Raw genomic sequence first — 22,145 nt, 5'->3', positions numbered from 1 at the left:
TGATTTGGATGAGAGTATGCATTTATATAAATATTTTGGAAAACAGTTTGTCTACATCTACTAAAGCTAAATATTACTTACCCTATTGCCCAGAAATATTACTGCTATTCTAGGTGTACACTCTAAGCGAAATGTCCCACAAAATGTTTGAGCATATTTCTGTCAGCTTTACTCATAATAGCCAAAATATTGGAAGCAATCCATTTGCCCACCATTATTCAACAGAGAATTGAATAAACTATGGGTTATTTGTATAATAAAATGTTACACAGCAATAAAAAGAACAAACTTCTGGTATATGCAACAAACATGATTGAGTCTGACAGATGTAATGTTGAGCTAAAGAAGCCAAATACAAGAGTTCTGCAGTGTAATTCCTTTTACCTGAACTTCAAAAACAGACAAAACTAATCTTATAGTGATATGAATCACAAAGCAATTACCTCTGAGAGGACAGTGCCTCAGAAGGGGCAAGAGGGAGTGTTCTGGCTTTATGGAAGTGTTATGTATATTGATCTGTGGGGTGTTTACATTGGTGTATACATATGAAAAAATTATTGAGCTGTGCTCTTCAGATTCATGGACTTTGCTGATATATGCCGTAACCAAATAACATTTGTGGAAACTGATGGGAAGCTCTGTGCTTGTAGATGGAGCTGTCTTCTTTGAGTTTCACCACAGGGTGATCTGGCTGGGAAGCACAATTTGGGGAAGAAACCCCTCAATGTCAGTATCTTTAGTTCTTTTCTCTTGGGCTAGCCAAACTCCAAGAAAATTCTTTTAATATTCTGTATTTAAGGTGGAGGCTTGGCAGCTTAATGTAGATAAAGGGCTGTGCATTTCAGCATTCAGCATTTGGTATGCATACGTTGTTATGTAATTCTCTTATTTTTGATATGATTCACTAATCTTAGCTGTATATGGCCACCCCAAGACCCAAACTTATTCAGAAAGTAAATCTCCCAACTTCCGTTGGGATAGGAGAGGGACAATATTTGAGCAGTGTGCAGTGAAAAGGGGGAAATTAGGGATCCAAATTCTTCTGAAATAGCTATCATCTCTTTCTTCTTAGTTTATTTCCCTTTCACTCTCAAGTCGAGAGGCACCAAAGGATGCCGGTTTCTGGGCCTTTTGAGGATTTTTTGGTGTTGATCAGATTGTTTCCTCTATTTTATCTACTGCCAGCTTAGGATTTAGTTTTCATGCATCTGCTAACTCAGTGAACTGTCAAAGAAAAATTGCCCTGCACAGAGTTGAACAGGCAAGGAAGACTTTATTTAACATGATTTCCGTAGGAGTCAAGATTACTGTAATAGGGGAGACAGAGTAAACTCAACTCTGCTGAATCAAAAGGCAGGAGGACTTTTAAGAGCTGGGGTGAGCTAGTAGAAAACTACTGGAGGGTGTTAGCAGGGAGGTTGGTCAATGTGATTAGGCCATCTGTGTTTGCTTTCCATAGGCAACTTCAGCAAAGTCTCAGGATACAAAATCAATGTGCAAAAATCACAAGCATTCCTATACACCAATAACAGACAAACAGAGAGCCAAATCATGAGTGAACTCCCATTCACAATTGCTTCAAAGAGAATAAAATACCTAGGAATCCAACTTACAAGGGATGTGAAGGACCTCTTCAAGGAGAGCTACAAACCACTGTTCAAGGAAATAAAAGAGGATACAAACAAATGGAAGAACCTTCCATGCTCATGGGTAGGAAGAATCAATATCGTGAAAATGGCCATACTGCCCAAGGTAATTTATAGATTCAATGCCATCCCCATCAAGCTACCAGTGACTTTCTGCACAGAATTGGAAAAAACTACTTTAAAGTTCATATGGAACCAAAAAAGAGCCCGCATCGCCAAGTCAATCCTAAGCCAAAAGAACAAAGCTGGAGGCATCACGCTACCTGACTTCAAACTATACTACAAGGCTACAGTAACCAAAACAGCATGGTACTGGTACCAAAACAGAGATATAGACCAATGGAACAGAACAGAGCCCTCAGAAATAATGCCGCATATCTACAACTATCTGATCTTTGACAAACGTGACAAAAACAAGAAGTGGGGAAAGGACTCCCTATTTAATAAATGGTGCTGGGAAAACTGGCTAGCCATATGTAGAAAGCTGAAACTGGATCCCTTCCTTACACCTTATACAAAAATTAATTCAAGAAGGATTAAAGACTTAAATGTTAGACCTAAAACCATAAAAACCCCAGAAGAAAACCTAGGCAATACCATTCAGGACACAGGCATGGGCAAGGACTTCATGTCTAAAACACCAAAAGCAATGGCAACAAAAGCCAAAATTGACAAATGGGATCTAATTAAACTAAAGAGTTTCTGCACAGCAAAAGAAACTACCATCAGAGTGAACAGGCAACCTACAAAATGGGAGAAAATTTTTGCAATCTACTCATCTGACAGAGGGCTAATATCCAGAATCTACAATGAACTCAAACAAATTTACAAGAAAAAAACAAACAACCCCATCAAAAAGTGGGTGAAGGATATGAACAGACACTTCTCAAAAGAAGACATTTATGCAGCCAAAAGACACATGAAAAAATGCTCATCATCACTGGCCATCAGAGAAATGCAAATCAAAACCACAGTGAGATACCATCTCATACCAATTAGAATGGCGATCATTAAAAAGTCAGGAAACAACAGGTGCTGGAGAGGATGTGGAGAAATAAGAACACTCTTACACTGTTGGTGGGACTGTAAACTAGTTCAACCATTGTGGAAGTCAGTGTGGCGATTCCTCAGGGATCTAGAACTAGAAATACCATTTGACCCAGCCATCCCATTACTGGGTATATACCCAAAGGATTACAAATCATGCTGCTATAAAGACACATGCACACGTATGTTTATTGCGGCACTATTCACAATAGCAAAGACTTGGAACCAACCCAAATGTCCAACAATGATAGACTAGATCAAGAAAATGTGGCACCTATACACCATGGAATACTATGCAGCCATAAAAAATGATGAGTTCATGTCCTTTGTAGGGACATGGGTGAAGCTGGAAACCATCATTCTCAGCAAACTATCACAAGGACAAAAAACCAAACACCGCATGTTCTCACTCATAGGTGGGAATTGAACAATGAGAACACATGGACACAGGAAGGGGAACATCACACACCAGGGCATGTTGTGGGGTGGGGGTGGGAAGGATAGCATTAGGAGATATACCTAATGTTAAATGACGAGTTAATGGGTGCAGTACACCAACATGACACATGTATACATATGTAACAAACCTGCACATTGTGCACATGTACCCTAAAACTTAAAGTATAATTAAAAAATAGATAAATAAATAAAAACAAAAGGGACGCTTTTGAAAGTCAGGCCCCTACCTTCCCACAGAGACCGAGAGATAGGTGTACTATCTTTGTATTTTTTTTAACTTTAGATTCAGGGGGTACATGTGCAGGTTTGTCACATGGGTATATTGCACAATGTTGAACTTTGGGCTTCTAGTGAACTGGTCATCCAAATAGTGAACATTGTACCCTATAGGTAGTTTTTCAACTCTTGTCTCCCTGCTTTTGGAGTCTCCAGTGTCTGTTATTTCCATCTCTATGCTCATGTATACCCATTGTTTAGGTCCTACTTATAAGTGAGAATATGTGGTATTTGATTTTCTGTATCTGAATTATGTCACTTAGGATCCATCCATGTTGCTGCAAAGGACATGATTTCATTCTTTTCTATGGCTGCATAATATGACAAAGATGTCTTTTCTCACCACTCCTATTCAACATAGTAGTAGAAGTCCTAGCCAGAGCAATCAGGCAAGAAAAATTAACAAAAGGTATCCAAATTGGAAAGGAAGAAGTCATATTATCTCTGTTCACTGATGACATGATCTTACACCTAGAAAACCTAAACATTACTCCAAAAGACTCACCGATCTGATAAGCGACTTCAGTAAAGTTTCAGGATACAAAATTAAAGCACAAAAAATCAGTTGCATCTCTATACACCAACAACACTGTAGCTGAGAACAAAATCAAGAACCCAATTCCATTTACAATAGCCACAAACACACACAAAGTAAGATACCTAGAAATACATTTAACCAAGGAAGTGAAAGACTTCTATAAGGACAACTACAAAACACTTATGAAAGAAATCATAGATGATGAGAGAGAAGAAAGGAAGAAACCCAGTCAGGCAGGCAGTCAGGGTGGGTCCTCGGTTGAATTATTTCAAACTAAAGAACAGCCTGCAGGCACAGATAAGGGAACTTGTACCAGGCAGGGGCAGGGGGACTGGGGGGCTGTTGGGGGTGGGCTTGCCTGAGACATGCCCACAGCTGCACAGATAAGAAAGGCTACACAGGTGACTTGCATAGACATGCCCACAATGGAAAATTCCATCCCCCGACACATGCACAGTAAGAGGTACAAAGCAATATGGAGTAACTCAAGCTAAGGGCCCACATGGACATTAGGAGGACAGGGTGGAGCTACCAGAAATTCGCACCTTATGCAAATGAGATGCCCAGCCCTCATCACTTTCTTATAAAAGCCTTTGCATTCAACTGTAAAAATGGCAACCCTTTCCAGGACCCTTCTCTGCTGCAGAGAGCTGTTCTCTTCCTTTTGCCTATTAACCTTGTGCTTCTGCTCTGACCTTATCCTTGGTGTGTCCGCATCTTTGATTTCCTCAGCCATGATTCCAAGAATTTCAGATGCCAGCCCAGGAAATGAGGCCATTTCAATGACACAAACCAATGGAAAAACATCCTGTGCTCATGGATAGGAAGAACCAATAACATTAAAATGAATATACTGCCCAAAGCAATCTACAGATTTGATGCAGTTCCTATCAAATTACCATCATTTTTCACAAAATTAGAAAAAAACTTCTAAAATTCATATAGAACCAAAAAAGAGCCCAAATAGCCAAGGTAACCTGAAGCAAAAGAGTAAGGCTGGAAGTGAGGGAAGAGAGAGACCCTCTCATATTGTTTTATATTGTTTTATACTCAGTACCTGTTTTAAGAAAAAACAGCAAGAAAGTTAACCCAAAGACAGGCAGCTCGGCACCAGGCCCGAAACCAGGCCTGGGCCTGCCTGGCCTAAACCCAGTAGTTAAAAATCAACTCATGACTTAGAACCTGATGTTATTCATAGATTCCAGACATTGTATAGCAGAACATTGTGAAACTCCCTGCCCTGTTCTGTTTCTCTCTGACCACCGGTGCATGCAGCCCCTGTGACGTACCACCTGATTGCTTAAATCAATCACGATCCTTTCATGTGAAATGTTTAGTGTTGTGAGCCCTTAAAAGGGACAGAAATTGCGCATTTGGGGAGCTCGGATTTTAAGGCAGTAGCTTGCTGATGCTCCCAGCTGAATAAAGCCCTTCCTTCTACAACTTGGTGTCTGAGAGGTTTTATCTGTGGCTTGTCCTGCTACAGAAGCATCACATTACCTGACTTCAAACTATACTATGAGATTATAGTAATGAAAACAGCATGGTACTATTACAAAAATAGACATATAGATCAGTGGAACAGAATAGAGAACCCGGAAATAAAGCCACATACTTAACAACCAACTGATCTTTGACAAAGTCAACAAAAATAAATGGGGAAAGGATACCCTATTCAATAAATGGTGCTGGCAAAACTGGCTATCCACACACAGAAGAATGAAACTGGAACCTATCTAATCTTTCTTGATCACATTTCCAAGAGATAGCTCCCAGGTCCTTGAGAAAGACATTCCTGGGCTATAAAACTATCAAGAGTCTGGGAGAATATTTACATCTCAAAAGAGCCCAGAAAAAAATTACAATTGTCAGTTCTCGAATGCAAATGTAAAGAAAAGGGAAGCCAGGGGCCTATAGTCGGGAAGATATCTATCTAAAGTTTGGTCAAGCTGAGGGCAGTGTTGGTCATCGCTGGTGCATCCATCTGGTTTCCAGTTTCCAAACTTTGTTGTTATTATTTGTTTGCCTCTCTTCTCTGTCCTTTTGGGTTTTATGTCTTTTTTATTTTAGTAGAGTTTATGGAGGGAGTGAAATTAGATGCATGAGTTTAGTATGACATCATTAACCAGAAGCATAAGAATTCTTTAAAGATAAGTCATATGCCATTGAACTGTTTTTAAAGGTGGATATTGGCAGCTTGTGAGTTTTTTGTTTGTTTGTTTTGTTTTTAGAGGAAGTTAGGAGCAGGAACCTTGTTGTAAGGGGGCAGCAAGGAGATGCATTTACACAGAAAGTTCATTTTTGCCATTGACTGTGGTTACAAATCAATACTAATACTGTCAGGCCTCTGAGCCCAAGCTAAGCCATCATATCCCCTGTGACCTGCACGTACACATCCAGATGGCTGGTTCCTGCCTTAACTGATGACATTCCACCACAAAAGAAGTGAAAATGGCCTGTTCCTGCCTTCACTGATGACATTATCTTGTGAAATTCCTTCTCCTGGCTCATCCTGGCTCAAAAGCTCCCCTACTGAGCACCTTGTGACCCCCACTCCTGCCCGCCAGAGAACAACACCCCTTTTTCCTTTACCTACCCAAATCTTATAAAAACGGCCCCACCCCTATCTCCCTTTGCTGACTCCCTTTTCCGACTCAGCCCACCTGCACCCAGGTGAAATAAACAGCCTTGTTGCTCACATGAAGCCTGTTTGGTGGTCTCTTCACACGGACGCACATGAAATTTGGTGCCATGACTCGGATCAGGGGACCTCCCTTGGGAGATCCCCTGTCCTCCTGCTTTTTGCTCCGTGAGAAAGATCCACCTACGACCTCAGGTCCTCAGACCCAGCAGCCCAAGAAACATCTCACCAATTTCAAATCCGGTAAGCGGCCTCTTTTTACTCTCTTCTCCAACCTCACTCACTATCCCTTAACCTCTTTCTCCTTTCAATCTTGGCGCCACACTTCAATCTCTCCCTTCTCTTAATTTCAATTCCTTTCATTTTCTGGTAGAAACAAAGGAGACATGTTTTATCCGTGGACCCAAAACTCCGGTGCCTGTCACAGACTAGGGAAGGCAGCCTTCCCTTGGTGTTTAATCATTGCAGGGACACCTCTCTGATTATTCACCCAGGTTTCAGAGGTGTCAGACCACGCAGGGACGCCGGCCTTGGTCCTTTACCCTTAGTGGCAAGTCCTGCTTTTCTGGGGGAGGGGCAGGAACCCCAACCTCTTATCTCTGCACCCCGATCCCTTATTTCCATGCCCCGACCTCTTATTTCTGCACCCCGACCCTTTATTTCCATGCCCCAACCCCTTTCCTGCTTTTCTGGAGGGCAAGAACCCCCCATCCCTTCTCTCCATGTCTCTACTCTCTCTTTTCTCTAGGCTTGCCTCCTTCACTATGGGCAAGCTTCCACCCTCCATTCCCCCTTCTTCTCCCTTAGCCTGTGTTCTTAAAAACCTAAAACCTCTTCAACTCACACCTGACCTAAAACCTAAATGCCTTATTTTATTCTACAATGCCGCTTGACCCCAATACAAACTCGACAGTGGTTCCAAATAGCCAGAAAATGGCACTTTCACTTTTTCCATCCTACAAGATCTAAATAATTCTTGTCATAAAATGGGCAAATGGTCTGAGGTGCCTGACGTCCAGGCATTCTTTTACACATCAGTTCCTCCCTAGTCTCTGTTCCCAATGCAAATCGTCCGAAATCTTCCTTCTTTCCCTCCCACCTGTCCCCTCAGTCCCAACCCCAAGCATCGCTGAGTCCTTCTAATCTTCCTTTTCTACAGACCCATCTGACCTCTCCCCTCCTCGCCAGGCCGAGCTAGGTCCCAATTATTCCTCAGCCTCCGCTCCTCCACCCTATAATCCTTTTATCACCTCCCCTCCTCACACCCAGTCCGGCTTACAGTTTCGTTCGGTGACTAGCCCTCCCCCACCTGCCCAGCAATATCCTCTTAAAAAGGTGGCTGGAGCTAAAGGCATAGTCAAGGTTAATGCTCTTTTTCTTTATCCCAAATCAGATAGCATTTAGGCTCTTTTTCATCAAATATTAATACCCAGTCCAGTTCATGACTCGTTTGGTTGCAACACTGAGACGCTTTACAGTCCTAGACCCTAAAAAGTCAAAAAACCATCTTATTCTCAATATACATTTTACTACCCAATCTGCTCCTGACATTAAATAAAACTCCAAAAATTAAATTCCAGCCCTCAAACCCCACAACAGGACTTAATTAACCTCCCCTTCAAGGTATACAATTCCTTGCCTCCACTGTGAGACAAACCCCAGCCACATCTCCAGCACACAAGAACTTCCAAACGCCTAAACCGCAGGGCACAGGTGTTCCTCCAGGCCCGCCTCCCCCAGGAGCTTGCTACAAGTGCCAGAAATCTGGCCACCAGGCCACGGAATACCGGCAGCCCATGATTCCTCCTAAGCTGCATCCCATCTGTGCTGGACCCCACTGAAAATCAGACTGTTCAACTCACCTGGCAGCCACTCCCAGAGCCCCTGGAACTCTGGCCCAAGGCTCTCTGATTGACTCCTTCCCAGATCTTCTCGGCTTAGCGGCTGAACACTGACGCTGCCTGATCGCCTCAGAAGCCCTGTAGACCATCACAGACACTGAGCTTCAGGTAACTCTCAGAGTGGAGGGTAAGTCCGTCCCCTTCTTAATACGGAGGCTACCCACTCCACATTACCTTCTTTTCAAGGGCCTGTTTCCCTTGCCTCTGTAACTGTTGTGGGTATTGACGACCAGGCTTCTAAACCCCTTAAAACTCCCCAACTCTGGTGCCAACTTAGAAAACATTCTTTTATGCACTCTTTTTTAATTATCCCCACCTGCCCAGTTCCCTTATTAGGCTGAGACACTTTAACTAAATTATCTGTTCCTTGACTACACCTGGGCTACAGCCACACCTCATTGCCGCCTTCTCCCCCAGTTCAAAGCCTCCTTCACTTCCTCCCCTTCTATCTCCCCACCTTAACCCACAAGTGTAAGACACCTCTACTCCCTCCTTAGCAACCGATCATGCACCACTTACCATCCCATTAAAACCTAATCACTCTTACCCCACTCAATGCCAATATCCCATCTCACAGCATGCTTTAAAAGGATTAGAGCCTGTTATCATTCGCCTGTTACAGCATGGCCTTTTAAAGCCTATAAACTCTCCTTAAAATTCCCCCATTTTACCTGTCCTAAAACCAGACAAGACTTACAGGTTAGTTCAGGATCTGCACCTTATCAACCAAATTGTTTTGCCTATCCACCCTGTGGTGCCAAACCCATATACTCTCCTATCCTCAATACCTCCCTCTACAACCCATTATTCTGTTCTGGATCTCGAACATGCTTTCTTTACTATTCCTTTGCACCCTTCATCCCGGCCTCTCTTCGCTTTCACTTGGACTGACCCTGACACCCATTAGGCTCAGCAAATTACCTGGGCTGTACTGCCGCAAGCCTTCACAGACAGCCCCCTTTACTTCAGTCAAGCCCAAATTTCATCCTCATCTGTTACCTATCTCGGCATAATTCTCATAAAAACACACGTGCTCTCCCTGCTGATCGTGTCCGACTAATCTCCCAAACCTCAATCCCTTACAAAACAACTCCTTTCCTTCCTAGGCATGGTTAGTGCGGTCAGAATTATTACAAAAGAGCCGGGACCGCACCCTGTAGCCTTTCTGTCCAAACAACTTGACCTTACTGTTTTAGGCTGACCATCATGTCTCCGTGCAGCGGCTGCTGCCGCCCTAATACTTTTAGAGGCCCTTAAAATCACAAACTATGCTCAACTCACTCTCTACAGCTCTCATAATTTCCAAAATCTATTTTCTTCCTCACACCTGATGCATATACAGTCTGCTCCGCAGCTCCTTCAGCTGTATTCACTCTTTGTTGAGTCTCCCACAATTACCATTGTTCCTGGCCCGGACTTCAATCCGGCCTCCCACATTATTCCTGATACCACATCTGACCCTCATGACTGCATCTCTCTGATCCACCTGACGTTCACCCCATTTCCCCACATTTCCTTCTTCCCTGTTTCTCACCCTGATCACACTTGGTTTATTGATGGCGGTTCCACCAGGCCTAATCGCCACACACCAGCAAAGGCAGGCTATGCTATAGCACAAGCCACTAGCCCGCCTGTTAGAACCTCTCATTTCCTTTCCATCGTGGAAATCTATCCTCAAGGAAATAACTTCTCAGTGTTCCATCTGCTATTCTACTACTCCTCAGGGATTATTCAGGCCCCTTCCCTTCCCTACACATCAAGCTCAGGGATTTGCTCCCGCCCAGGACTGGCAAATTTGCTATTCTACTACTTCCCAGGGATTATTCAGGCCCCCTGCCTTCCCTACACATCAAGCTCAGGGATTTGCTCCCACCCAGGACTGGCAAATTTGCTATTCTACTACTTCCCAGGGATTATTCAGGCCCCCTGCCTTCCCTACACATCAAGCTCAGGGATTTGCCTCCGCCCAGGACTGGCAAATTAGCTTTACTCAACATGCCCCGAGTCAGGAAACTAAAATACCTCTTGGTCTAGGTAGACACTTTCACTGGATAGGTAGAGGCCTTTCCCACAGGTTCTAAGAAGGCCACCATGGTCATTTCTTCCCTTCTGTCAGACATAATTCCTCGGTTTGGCCTTCCCACCTCTATACAGTCTGATAACAAACCAGCCTTTATCAGTCAAATCAGCCAAGCAGTTTTTCAGGCTCTTGGTATTCAGTGAAACCTTTATATCCCTTACGGTCCTCAGTCTTCAGGAAAGGTAGAACAGACTAATGGTCTTTTAAAAACACACCTTATCAAGCTCAGCCACCAACTTAAAAAGGACTGGACAATACTTTTACCACTTTCCCTTCTCAGAATTCAGGCCTGTTCTTGGAATGCTACAAGGTACAGCCCATTTGAGCTCCTGTATAGACGCTCCTTTTTATTAGGCCCCAGTCTCATTCCAGACACCAGACCAACCTGGACTGTACCCCAAAAAACCTGCCATCCCTACTATCTTCTGTCTAGTCATACTCCTATTCACCGTTCTCAACTACTCATACACGCCCTGCTCTTGTTTACACTGCCAGTTTACACTGTTTCTCCAAACCATCACAGCTGATATCTCCTGGTGCTATCCCCAAACCGCCACTCTTAACTCTTAAAGTAAATAAACAATCTTTGCTGGCAAGGCTATGCTGAACCTCCTTCCAATAATTCTAAATGACAAATGTTTCTTCTAACAACCCCACAATATCACCCCTTACCACAAAATCTTCCTTCAGCTTAATCTCTCCCACTCTAGGTTCCCACGCTCACCCCTAATCCGGCTTGAAGCAGACCTGAGAAACATCGCCCATTATCTCTCCATACCACCCCCAAAAAATTTTCACCATCCCAACATTTTACCACTATTTCATTTTATTTTTCTTATTAATATAAGAAGACAGGAATGTCAGGCCTCTGAGCCTAAGCTAAGCCATCATATCCCCTGTGACCTGCGCGTACACATCCGGATGGCCAGTTCCTGCCTTAACTGATGATATTCCACCACAAAAGAAGTGAAAATGACCTGTTCCTGCCTTCACTGATGACATTATCTTGTGAAATTCCTTCTGGCTCATCCTGGCTCAAAAGCTCCCCTATTGAGCACCTTGTGGCCCCCACTCCTGCCCGCCAGAGAACAACACCCCTTTTTCCTTTACCTACCCAAATCTTATAAAACGGCCCCACTCCTATCTCCCTTCGCTGACTCTCTTTTCGGACTCAGCCCGCCTGCACCCAGGTGAAATAAACAGCCTTGTTGCTCACACAAAGCCTGTTTGGTGGTCTCTTCACACAGACGTGCATGAAAAATACCATAGCATCCTAACACTACCACTTTTCATAGAGAAAAAAGTAAAGCTTCCCAATTTTTAAATAAAGCCAGCACTGTACTAATTTGATCTAAGAAAAGCAGAGAGAAAATTGGGCAATTATGAGAGTTAACACTAACAGGGCACTAGGGAACTCTGTCCCATGACTCCCTGTATCTGTAGATGCCCCAAGTGTAGTACGTTTAGCCTCCTCCTGGCAGTAGCCTGATGAGCCAGCAGCTCTCTGTTTCTGAGTTTATTGGTTCAGGATTCAAAATGTAAACATAAAAAACTTCAAAAGTCCCAGAGATCTTGGTTAGGTGGGATCACAGTGCAATGTGTCCCAGGTCATCTCAAATACTCCTCCTTCTGATTTTTTCTGTTCCAGCTGATGAACGTAACTGCCACTGCTCCAGCCTCCCCTACTGATCTGGCCTTAACTTGGCTTTACAGTCCTTTATTCATCTCATGGATTTCTTATCTACAATCTTAGTCTCTCCATCCCTCCCTTAACCCCCTTAAATATATTTTTAATCTTGGTTTATCAACCTGACTTCTGCTTCCAGCTGTTTGCCATTTGTATTCATTATTCTTGATCCTGTACCCTCATTTCAGTTAATGTCATCACAAAGATTGTCAGGAAGAATCTGAGCTCTTCCCCTCAAATTAAGAACATCTACTTTGCCTTCTTCTCTGTTACCAGGGTAGTGGTAAGCAGAGTCACTTGAGACAAACAGTCGCAGGTGGGCATGTCCTATGTTTGGAATACTCTGTCCATCATGTTCCAGCCAGCTCTTACCTGTTGGCTGACACAGTAGACGAAGAGGCAGTTGGAGGTAAGTAAAGAGACCTCATCACCCTCGGATGACAGAGGGAAGGATTGCCCCAAGTTTCTGGAAGAACCCCATTGATATCTCAAGGATCTACAGAGTTTTATGAGGCCATAGATAGGATGAAGGATGAGAAACCCTTTTAGGGAAAGAGAAAAACCAAAAATAGAGCAAGAGATGGTGCAGAGTGCTTGAGTAGAGACCAAAAAATACGACAGAAGGTAAAAAGCTAGGCTGCTTTGGACCCTTTTTTGAGGATTTGGGGAGTTTTCTGATGTTAAGCAGTTGGTGCCCTAGATCAAAGAACCTCCATAGAAATAGCCTGATTAAGGCAGTATATGCCAACACAAATGATCAAAAAGATGCTGCTCTTCCCTAAAATAACTTACTGTCCCTTTGAAAACCTCAATGAAAGGACTTGCTTGCTGAAGGCAGGGTCTGCATGCTAGGAAAATATGGCATTGTCTGCCACTGTGTAGCCCTTCTTTTGATGAGACAAACAATCAGCTGAATCATAAGAGGATCTCTTACCCTTCTGGACATGGCTATTAGAATGTGCCCTGTCAGAGGGTGCCTTATCAAGTGCTGAAGTAGGGGAGAAAATAACTTGGACTGTAGCCTCAGATCCCTCAGAAAAGTTGTAAAACCCTGAGATGTTCTTCAGTCAGTGTAGGGTTCAGGGATAGATACATACGCAATAGTTCTCAGATGTTGCTATCCACTTCAGAATACAAACAGTGCTTTAGTAAAGCTATCAATTTGAAGATAACTTTTTATTCAGGTATAGACTCTAAATATAAATCAGGACAAAGAAACACATCTAGATCTGTAAGATATTAATGACAAAGAATTCTAAAAATGAAAAGATAGCTGATTTTTAAAAAGAACACCTGTCTGAGAGCATTGATACCCTGGTTTTCATACCGTATCTTCCTCCAAGACATAGTGTAAACTTTTTCAATCACTTTGGTCTTTTGAACTTTAGCTTATTTATCTGAATCAAAGGGAGGAGTTGGACTAAGCAAAATTTTCTTAATCCTCACTGAGCATCAAAATACCTGAGAAGCCTTCAGTTTTAGTTTTTAAATACAGGTACCTAAATTGTATCCTAGAAATTTAAATTTGACAGGTCTGAGGTAGGGATTATTATTTTTATCTTTATTTATTTATTTATTTTAGACGGAGTCTTGCTCTATTGCCCAGGCTGGAGTGCAATGGCATGATCTCGGCTCACTGCAACCTCCAACTCCCAGGCTCAAGTGCTTCTCCGGCCTCAGCCTACCAAGTAGCTGGGATTACAGGCACATGCCACCACACCCGGCTAATTTTTGTATTTTTAATAGAGATGGGGTTTTGTCATGTTGGTCAGGCTGGTCTTGAACTACTGACCTCAGGTAGATCCGCCTGCCTCGGTCTCCCAAAGTGCTGGGATTACAGGCATGAGCCACTGTGCCCAGCCGGGATCAGGATTTTAAATAAGCATCTCACTTGATTATGATAAACTGGTCTACAGACCAATGCTTGAGACCTCTGGGCCAGGTGATCTTTCAGGTTCTATCTAGTTCTTAAATTTCGTTGTTCTTCTGTAAAACACACATATAAAAGATAGTAAAGGCAAGTGAGACTAAATACGTTAAACTAAGAATACTGAGGGATTAAATATAAATGTGGTCCTAGAAAGTTACTTTCTATCTATATTGACTGATGGTACAGTCTCTGGAAACCATTGCTGTGGGTTTGAATTCTGTCTCAAATATTTATGAGCTCTGGGTCCTTGTACAATTTACTTAAACATCCTTAGACTCAGTTTTCTTATATAAGGGTAAGAATAACAATCTCTGCATCCTAGTGTTGTTTAAGGATTAAAGGAAACAATCTTCATAAAGTACTTAGTAGAGTACCTGTCATATATGTGGCTAACATGTAATATGCGTTAGCTACAGGATGATGATGATGCCAATGACAAAAACTCAAATGCAGGGAGAAATGCAGGACTTCGTATTTTCTTTTTCAAAAGAAATAATGAAAAAATAAAGAGGCATGAGTCCTTCATATGCCCTTCACTCTAAAATGAATGAGGATGTGTCAAAATTAAGAATTTTGTGTGGGTTTTTTGGCTACCTCCCAAAAGAATGTAAAATTTAGCTGACCTCAGTCTACTCACATAGACAGCCTACTGCAAAAATGAAACTAACATGAGGCTATAGACTAGTCTAAGGCATGGTCATGCCAAGGGAGAATATGCCCTGACCTTATTGGAAGGGGACTCTATGTGTAAAAGATTAAATAGTGGTAAAGAGAGGAGAAAGGGGGAAAATGAGACTCTGATGAAGAGAGAAAAGAAGCAGGATCAGAATGAAGATAAAGTCAGGATTAGGAATATAATGAACTTAAAGGGAGATTTGGGAGTCAGCCCACACAGTTGTAGATGAAATCTAGCATTCTAACTGTCTTCCCTCAGCTCCAGATGCTGCAGAGTCATGGAAAACCAATCCAGCATTTCTGAATTTTTCCTCCGAGGAATATCAGCGCCTCCAGAGCAACAGCAGTCCCTCTTCGGAATTTTCCTGTGTATGTATCTTGTCACCTTGACTGGGAACCTGCTCATCATCCTGGCCATTGGCTCTGACCTGCACCTCCACACCCCCATGTACTTTTTCTTGGCCAACCTGTCTTTTGTTGACATGGGTTTAACGTCCTCCACAGTTACCAAGATGCTGGTGAATATACAGACTCGGCATCACACCATCTCCTATACGGGTTGCCTCACGCAAATGTATTTCTTTCTGATGTTTGGTGATCTAGACAGCTTCTTCCTGGCTGCCATGGCGTATGACCGCTATGTGGCCATTTGCCACCCCCTCTGCTACTCCACAGTCATGAGGCCCCAAGTCTGTGCCCTAATGCTTGCATTGTGCTGGGTCCTCACCAATATCGTTGCCCTGACTCACACGTTCCTCATGGCTCGGTTGTCCTTCTGTGTGACTGGGGAAATTGCTCACTTTTTCTGTGACATCACTCCTGTCCTGAAGCTGTCATGTTCTGACACCCACATCAACGAGATGATGGTTTTTGTCTTGGGAGGCACCGTACTCATCGTCCCCTTTTTATGCATTGTCACCTCCTACATCCACATTGTGCCAGCTATCCTGAGGGTCCGAACCCGTGGTGGGGTGGGCAAGGCCTTTTCCACCTGCAGTTCCCACCTCTGCGTTGTTTGTGTGTTCTATGGGACCCTCTTCAGTGCCTACCTGTGTCCTCCCTCCATTGCCTCTGAAGAGAAGGACATTGCAGCAGCTGCAATGTACACCATAGTGACTCCCATGTTGAACCCCTTTATCTATAGCCTAAGGAACAAGGACATGAAGGGGGCCCTAAAGAGGCTCTTCAGTCACAGGAGTATTGTTTCCTCTTAGATGTGGTGACAGCAACATTTAATGAAAAGACATAGGCTTGGAGTCAGACAAACGGGCTTCATTTTGGGGTCTACCACACACTAGCCATAAGATTGTAGTCTGGTTACTTAGCCTCTCTGAGCCTTGGTTTTCTCATTTATAAAATGGAGATAACAGTTTCTATCTAATAATGTAACTTGGAGGATTAACTGAAATAAACTATGAAATGCATTCAGTATAGTAGTGAATAACAGTAGGTGTTCAATAAGGGATAGCTATTATTATTACTATTAGTATTCTTCATTCCTCCCCCAACTCAGAAGTCAAAAAATCTTTTCTCTGAGATATATTTGTTCAATAAATATTTACTATCTATGGTGTGTTGGAAGTTATTGTAAGTGCTAGGGTTATGACACTGAGCAAGACAAAGTCCCTGCTTTCATGACACTTTCATTCTAGGTTATTAATTTGTCGATCATTAAAATTTTGGGGGCACTTGTTTTGTTTGTGGCATTAAGTGGGGAGTAAGACAAAAGAAATAAAGATGGAGGCTGCATTCCATGTGCTGCAGAATAGCTAAAGAGATCCCCATCAAAAGGTTCAAATTCAATGTTTAGGTTTCCATGCGGGTTGCCCACCCCACGGTTGGCTAATGTTTCACTAGGAAGGGGGTTAAAGCTCCTTGTGCTACCTCTGCCCCATGCTGGTCAGAAACGTGCAATGCCACCATCCTTTTAGTGACTATTAGATGAGAGGAACGTGGAAATCCTCTCTCCTTATTTGACTGCAGGTTTGCGTCCACATCTAAAAGGGGCACCAGCAGCTTAAATTAGTTGCAGAGATGGAAAAAATGATGTTTGAAGGTAAATGGCATTCTATCTGTCTCCAAGAATCTTAGAAATATTAAAAATATTATTTTAAATATAAGGGCTATATAGTTTTGATTTCTTACATCTGGTATCACCAGGTGTCCACTGGCTACCTAAACTCCTTCCTCATTTAAGTTTGTTTCTCAGACCTAACCTATTCTAAAATGTTTTATGATTGCTGCACTTTTTCAATGAATACTTATGGAGCATCTTTCATGGAATCAAACTGTTCCAGGCTTCAGCTATTAGTAAGTACAAATGTGAATCATTTAGATGCCACATCTTAGTACGCGAGGATTCCATTTATTTCATGACCTGGAACTGGAAGTCTGTTCTTCTCTCTAGAACTCCTTTCCAGATGTTCCCTCAGAGAGTCCTTGAATGGGATGAGCAGGGCATCGTCATGTAACCAGAGCTGGAGATGGTTGCAAACTTGGAGTTCTCCTGCCCTCATCTCCTTAGTCTACAACTCTCCTTCCATTCTGTTGACATCTATCGCTCCACTGACCAAAGACCACTGACAGTCTCCTCCAAGCCATTGACCTCTAGCTTTCTTCTATCATTTGAACTGGCAATGGACTATCCTCCACTTCTCATGATCAGCTCTTTCAGAAGAGGGTCTCCTAGGAGAGCTCTAAGGCCCCTGATGACACAGCTAGTGGACATGAGGAAGCCTGAGGTGTGAGATCACCAGATACAGCCTCACACTATATCTGAAACCTATGTCCACCCTGATACCCTAAATCTGCTGCTCAGATTCACCCAATCAACTTTACCTTCTTTACTCATGGTGTCTATGTCGCCTTCTGGTTTCATTCACCATTCTGATCCTCAGGGACCCTCAATCCACTCACTGATAGTGCGGTAAATTTATGAATCCTGTTTGGGTATGGTTTAAGTTCTTTCTCACAGGCCCCAAGCAAACTAGAAGATGTGACTGGGTGTCCACTTCAGTTTACTTAATATAATTCTGTGGCCGTTAGGAGTTAGGTCAGCACTCAGCATACAAAGATTCATCAACGGACACTGTTGCCTATCACTGTTCAATAGTCTAACATTCCTCGATTCCAGCCAGCCAAGAGTTATCAATGTATTCAAAGTTCCAAACTTATTCCTCCTTTGATATACAGTCATACATTACTTAACTATGTGCATATGTTCTGAGAAATGTTTCACTGGGCAATTTTGTCATTGTGCAAACATCATAAAGTACACTTACACAAACCTAGATGGGATGGCCTACTATACAGCTAAGCTATATGGTATAACTAATGCTCCCAGGCTACAAACCTGTACAGCTTGTTAATGTACTAAATGCTGTAGGCAACTGTAACACTATGGTAAGTATTTCTGTGATAGGATTTATTCAGTTCCATTATGAGCTTGAAACCACTGTGGCATATGGAGTCTATTGTTGACCAAAACATCATTATGAGGCACATGACTATCTTATCACACCCATCCCCAAAACATAAGCTCAAATTTCTATTCCTTTAAGGTCATCTATGTCAAAGAGAATTAATGTGATGTTAGCATTAAAATAATTCCTGCTGACATACAGGTGACTTATAAATCTTTGCACCTTGGTAGGGTAATGAGCAGGGCATGCTTTGAATCAGAGGTGGGGTAATGGAGAGAGGTAGCATGATAGAAAGCTTCCCAGTGCCCCTTGCCTATTTAGGGGTTTTGCTTTCTTCTTGCTCAGAACCCATTTTTAAGAAGCAAATGGTCTTCAGTTTGTTTCCTCACTTCCTTAAGACTGTTAAACCTAATCAAAATTATTTAAGGTGCCTAGTCTTCCATTTTGTTCTTAAATATCAGTCCACAGAACCATAAATCAAGAGCAATCCTTCATTCTATCACCTACTTCCCATCAATTACCAATACCGTCTAGTCTACCTTCAAGAGTATTCTCTTCTCTATCTATATGCCATTGTCTTCATCCAGGCACACATTATCTGTTACCTGAATGTACAATGACCTTCTAATTAAGCATCTTGATTCAAGGCACTCCGATCCATTGCCAAACCATCTCACACGTTGGTTACCCGAGTAATCTTTAGAAAACACAAACATAACCTTCCCTGAGACTAATCCCAATTCCACCCCACCCCAGCCAATGGTGCCCATCACTTGCAAGGCAATGTCTAAACCTCTTAACAGGACAATCTACCCCCCTCACAATATAGTCTTTGTCTCCCTGTCTAGACTCACCTCTTGATGCTTCCTTGACTCATACACACCTATGTATAGCAACATCATTTTTCTTACATTTCCCTGAACATACCATGCAAATTCAGTGCCCTGGCCCACTCTGTCCACTCTACCTAGACTCATTTGTTCCATTATGTATCAATCCTGAGCATCCTTCAACCCCCAACTGAAGAATTACTTCCCCTGTAAAGCTTTTGCTGATATCCAGGCAGCATTAACTATACGCCCTTGTGTTACTACCATGTAAGTATTTCATCGTCTCTAAGCCTCAATTTTCCCAGCTGTAAAATATAGATAGTAACAGTGTATATATGTAGAATTATTATGAGGATTAAATGACATAATACAGGTACAGCTTTTAATACAATGCCTGACACACAGTAGCCATGCAAAATAAGCACAACTATTCGTGGTGTTATTACGTTAAGGCACTTTTTGTACTCTTGCATATTTCTTAGTTTACCTGTTGCTACACTATCAGAATATGAGCTTCTTTTGCCTGGAGGCTTTCTCTTTATCCAGATCTGTTTGACCAAGAATAGGCACACTGCCTGGCACAGACAGGTAACTTGCTGAATGGCTACTGAGGGGCACAATCTATAAAATAAAGAATGTTTTACTATTTTTAGTATTAATTCCAACATTTGTCCTTAATTACAAACAAATTAAATTGTATGTATATGTGAGTTACACACACACACACACACACACATGCACACAGTTCTTGGATTCAAATAATATAACCATCACAACATTAATGGGTTTATTTTTTCCTTCAAAAGCTAAGTGAACTTAATTCTTTAGCAAATTCCCCTTCCACTTTCCATCTGTGACAAAATAGAATAATTTTTGTTTACTCTTAAAATTTCCATGTCAGAATTGTGTGTTACATATGTGCTAAAATCAAGTGCTGGAGTTCCTGGTTCTAGGATGTTTTGATTCCTCCCCTCTGAGGAAGATTGTTCTATTGTCACACTGTGAAAGAATTAGTGTTAACTTTTGAGAAGGAAGTACACTGGTCACTTGAAACGTCCATAATTGCCAATTTTCAGAACTATTTGTTAACTTGTGAAAAAAAATCACACATTCATGGATTTCAAAAATGCAGCAAGCTTTGTTCTAAACTCAATGAGGTGCTTCACTGGAAAAGGTCACGAATCCTAGCCCTGGCATGGCTAGAGGGAAATGCACTCATATAAAGTGCACACTTCCAATGTGATTGATGTTCAGTTCTATTTGCATATTCAAATCAATACGGTGCACCCCAGTGTGCTTTGGGCTGTCCAAAACCAAGACAAACTGATCTGGGAGATGAGGTGGACTGGTAAGACAGATAGTGATGAAACACTTCCCAACAGACAAGTGAGCTTGCCATTTCTTGAGGAAAAGTCATTCAGAGAAGTGTCACCAGCCTGTGGCTAAAACATAAATGACAATATTGGTCTCTCTGGAGGATGGGCCTGACAAGACTAGGCAGATCTTCAGGGATCTGAACAACAGAACTGGGGTGCCGGCAGGGAAACTGAGTCAGGCACTTAGTTCTACAGATCACATCACTATAGCAGAGATGAGAGTGTACAGCAGGTCATGATTGTGCTGAGGCTATCAAGGCATGCTTTACCTAGACCAACAATAAACCAACAATAAAGATTCTATCCCTGTTCAGGTTTTGGCTCTGGAAAAGGTCGGGGCTAAGCCTGTAAACAAAGTGACCCTGTGCTTGCAGCAAGGAGTGGGGGTGGCACTCTTTCTTGTTCTACAAAGGACTGGATGCCAAAAGGCAGCTACATGAGCCCCCGATGAAGGATCACTCTTTGAGTCAATATCAAACAAGTGAAGAGTAAGGTCTTTTTCTGATCTGTCTTTCCTTACCTACCCACACATGAACTCACTTGTTCATTGCCCTTTAGTTATTTGGTTCTAGCTCAAGCCAGAACAGATATGTTGCTGTGTCCTAGGGCAGGTTATTGCTTTTGAATTGGGAATATAACCAACATGACAAGCTGCCCATGGTCACCATAATTCAGGAGTGTCTGCACAAGTTCTGCTTCAAAACTCATCTCTGATGGAGAAGGTAGAGAAAATTCACATTCATTATTCTTGGTCAGCTGTAGTGTTAAGCCCAATTTATTACTGCATTTACTTCAAATAAAATATGTTAGGTGTTGCAGAACTTTTTTCACCTATACAGAAGAAGAAATTGAGGTTCAAAGGAATTGGGTGAATTGTCTGAGGCCACGCAGCCACCACCCTGGTATATAGAGATTACAAATGAGATCTAGCTTTCCAAATATTCTTCTCTTGCAGCTACACATTGCTGCTTCTCAGAAGCATTTGTAGTTCTGTTTATCTTTAAGTAGAGGAATGAAAAAAGAGACCTATATGCCCTTCACTGGATGGCGGAGACCATAGAAGATAGAAGAAAAAGATAAAAGATGACTTGGGCATATAATACAAACTAGGGGCCATTAAGCTGAGTAGAAATGCTTTTCAATAAGAAAGACAACGAAGACACTGAATGGGAAAAGGATCAAATTTAGTGACGGCAACAGAAGGCTCCTGACTGTGAAGACTTTTTTGTTCTTCTCATTCATTACCTGGAGTAAGTCTGCGGCGTGATTGAAGCTCACATGTGTAGTCAGAAAGCTTCATAAACATTGGTCTGAAAGTGAACTGTTGAATGAAAGTTATTGTAGTCTAGAAGAGGAACCTCAAGTTCTGAAGTGGAACAGCTGAACTTATGACAGTGAATAGCTTTTTGGATCTGTAAAGGGTACTATATAGTTTCTTCTCCTTACCCACCACCATCAGCAACAACAATAAAAAATGTGAGAAGAGAACTGAATGGGAAGAAAGAAAGGGAAATGCCTTTACAAGTACCCAATCCTTCAACTTTTCTATGGCAAGGGAATCCTGTTAGTCAACATATTTAAACAATTCCTAAGAACAAATAAATTTCCAGGAAATAAAATGAAGGATTTAAGTTCTG

The 22,145-nt window shown here is 42.2% G+C and overlaps 2 protein-coding genes across 2 annotated transcripts in view, besides 1 other annotated feature; one reads left to right on the top strand and one right to left on the bottom strand.

The window, feature by feature from the left end:
* OR1J2 (olfactory receptor family 1 subfamily J member 2) overlaps positions 1-22,145 on the bottom strand; it is a 132,995-nt gene that overhangs the window by 37,976 nt on the left and 72,874 nt on the right. The gene's annotated exons all lie outside the window — the stretch shown is intronic.
* Positions 3,848-5,047: an enhancer, noted in NCBI's record as "MED14-independent group 3 enhancer chr9:125299684-125300883 (GRCh37/hg19 assembly coordinates)". NCBI's record gives its function as "activates an origin of replication core promoter dependent on BRD2, BRD4, P300/CBP and CDK7 cofactors, and independent of MED14, by STARR-seq in HCT116 cells {active_cell/tissue: HCT116}" and the evidence as "EXISTENCE:reporter gene assay evidence [ECO:0000049][PMID:35650434]".
* On the top strand, positions 15,159-16,094 carry OR1N1 (olfactory receptor family 1 subfamily N member 1). Its single transcript, NM_012363.1, has one exon. It carries the CDS (start codon positions 15,159-15,161, stop codon positions 16,092-16,094), a length of 936 nt encoding a protein of 311 aa, NP_036495.1.

Source organism: Homo sapiens, chromosome 9 (assembly GCF_000001405.40).
Source record: "Homo sapiens chromosome 9, GRCh38.p14 Primary Assembly".
Taxonomy (NCBI): Eukaryota; Metazoa; Chordata; class Mammalia; order Primates; family Hominidae; genus Homo; species Homo sapiens.
This window is presented reverse-complemented; position numbering and strand designations above follow the sequence as displayed.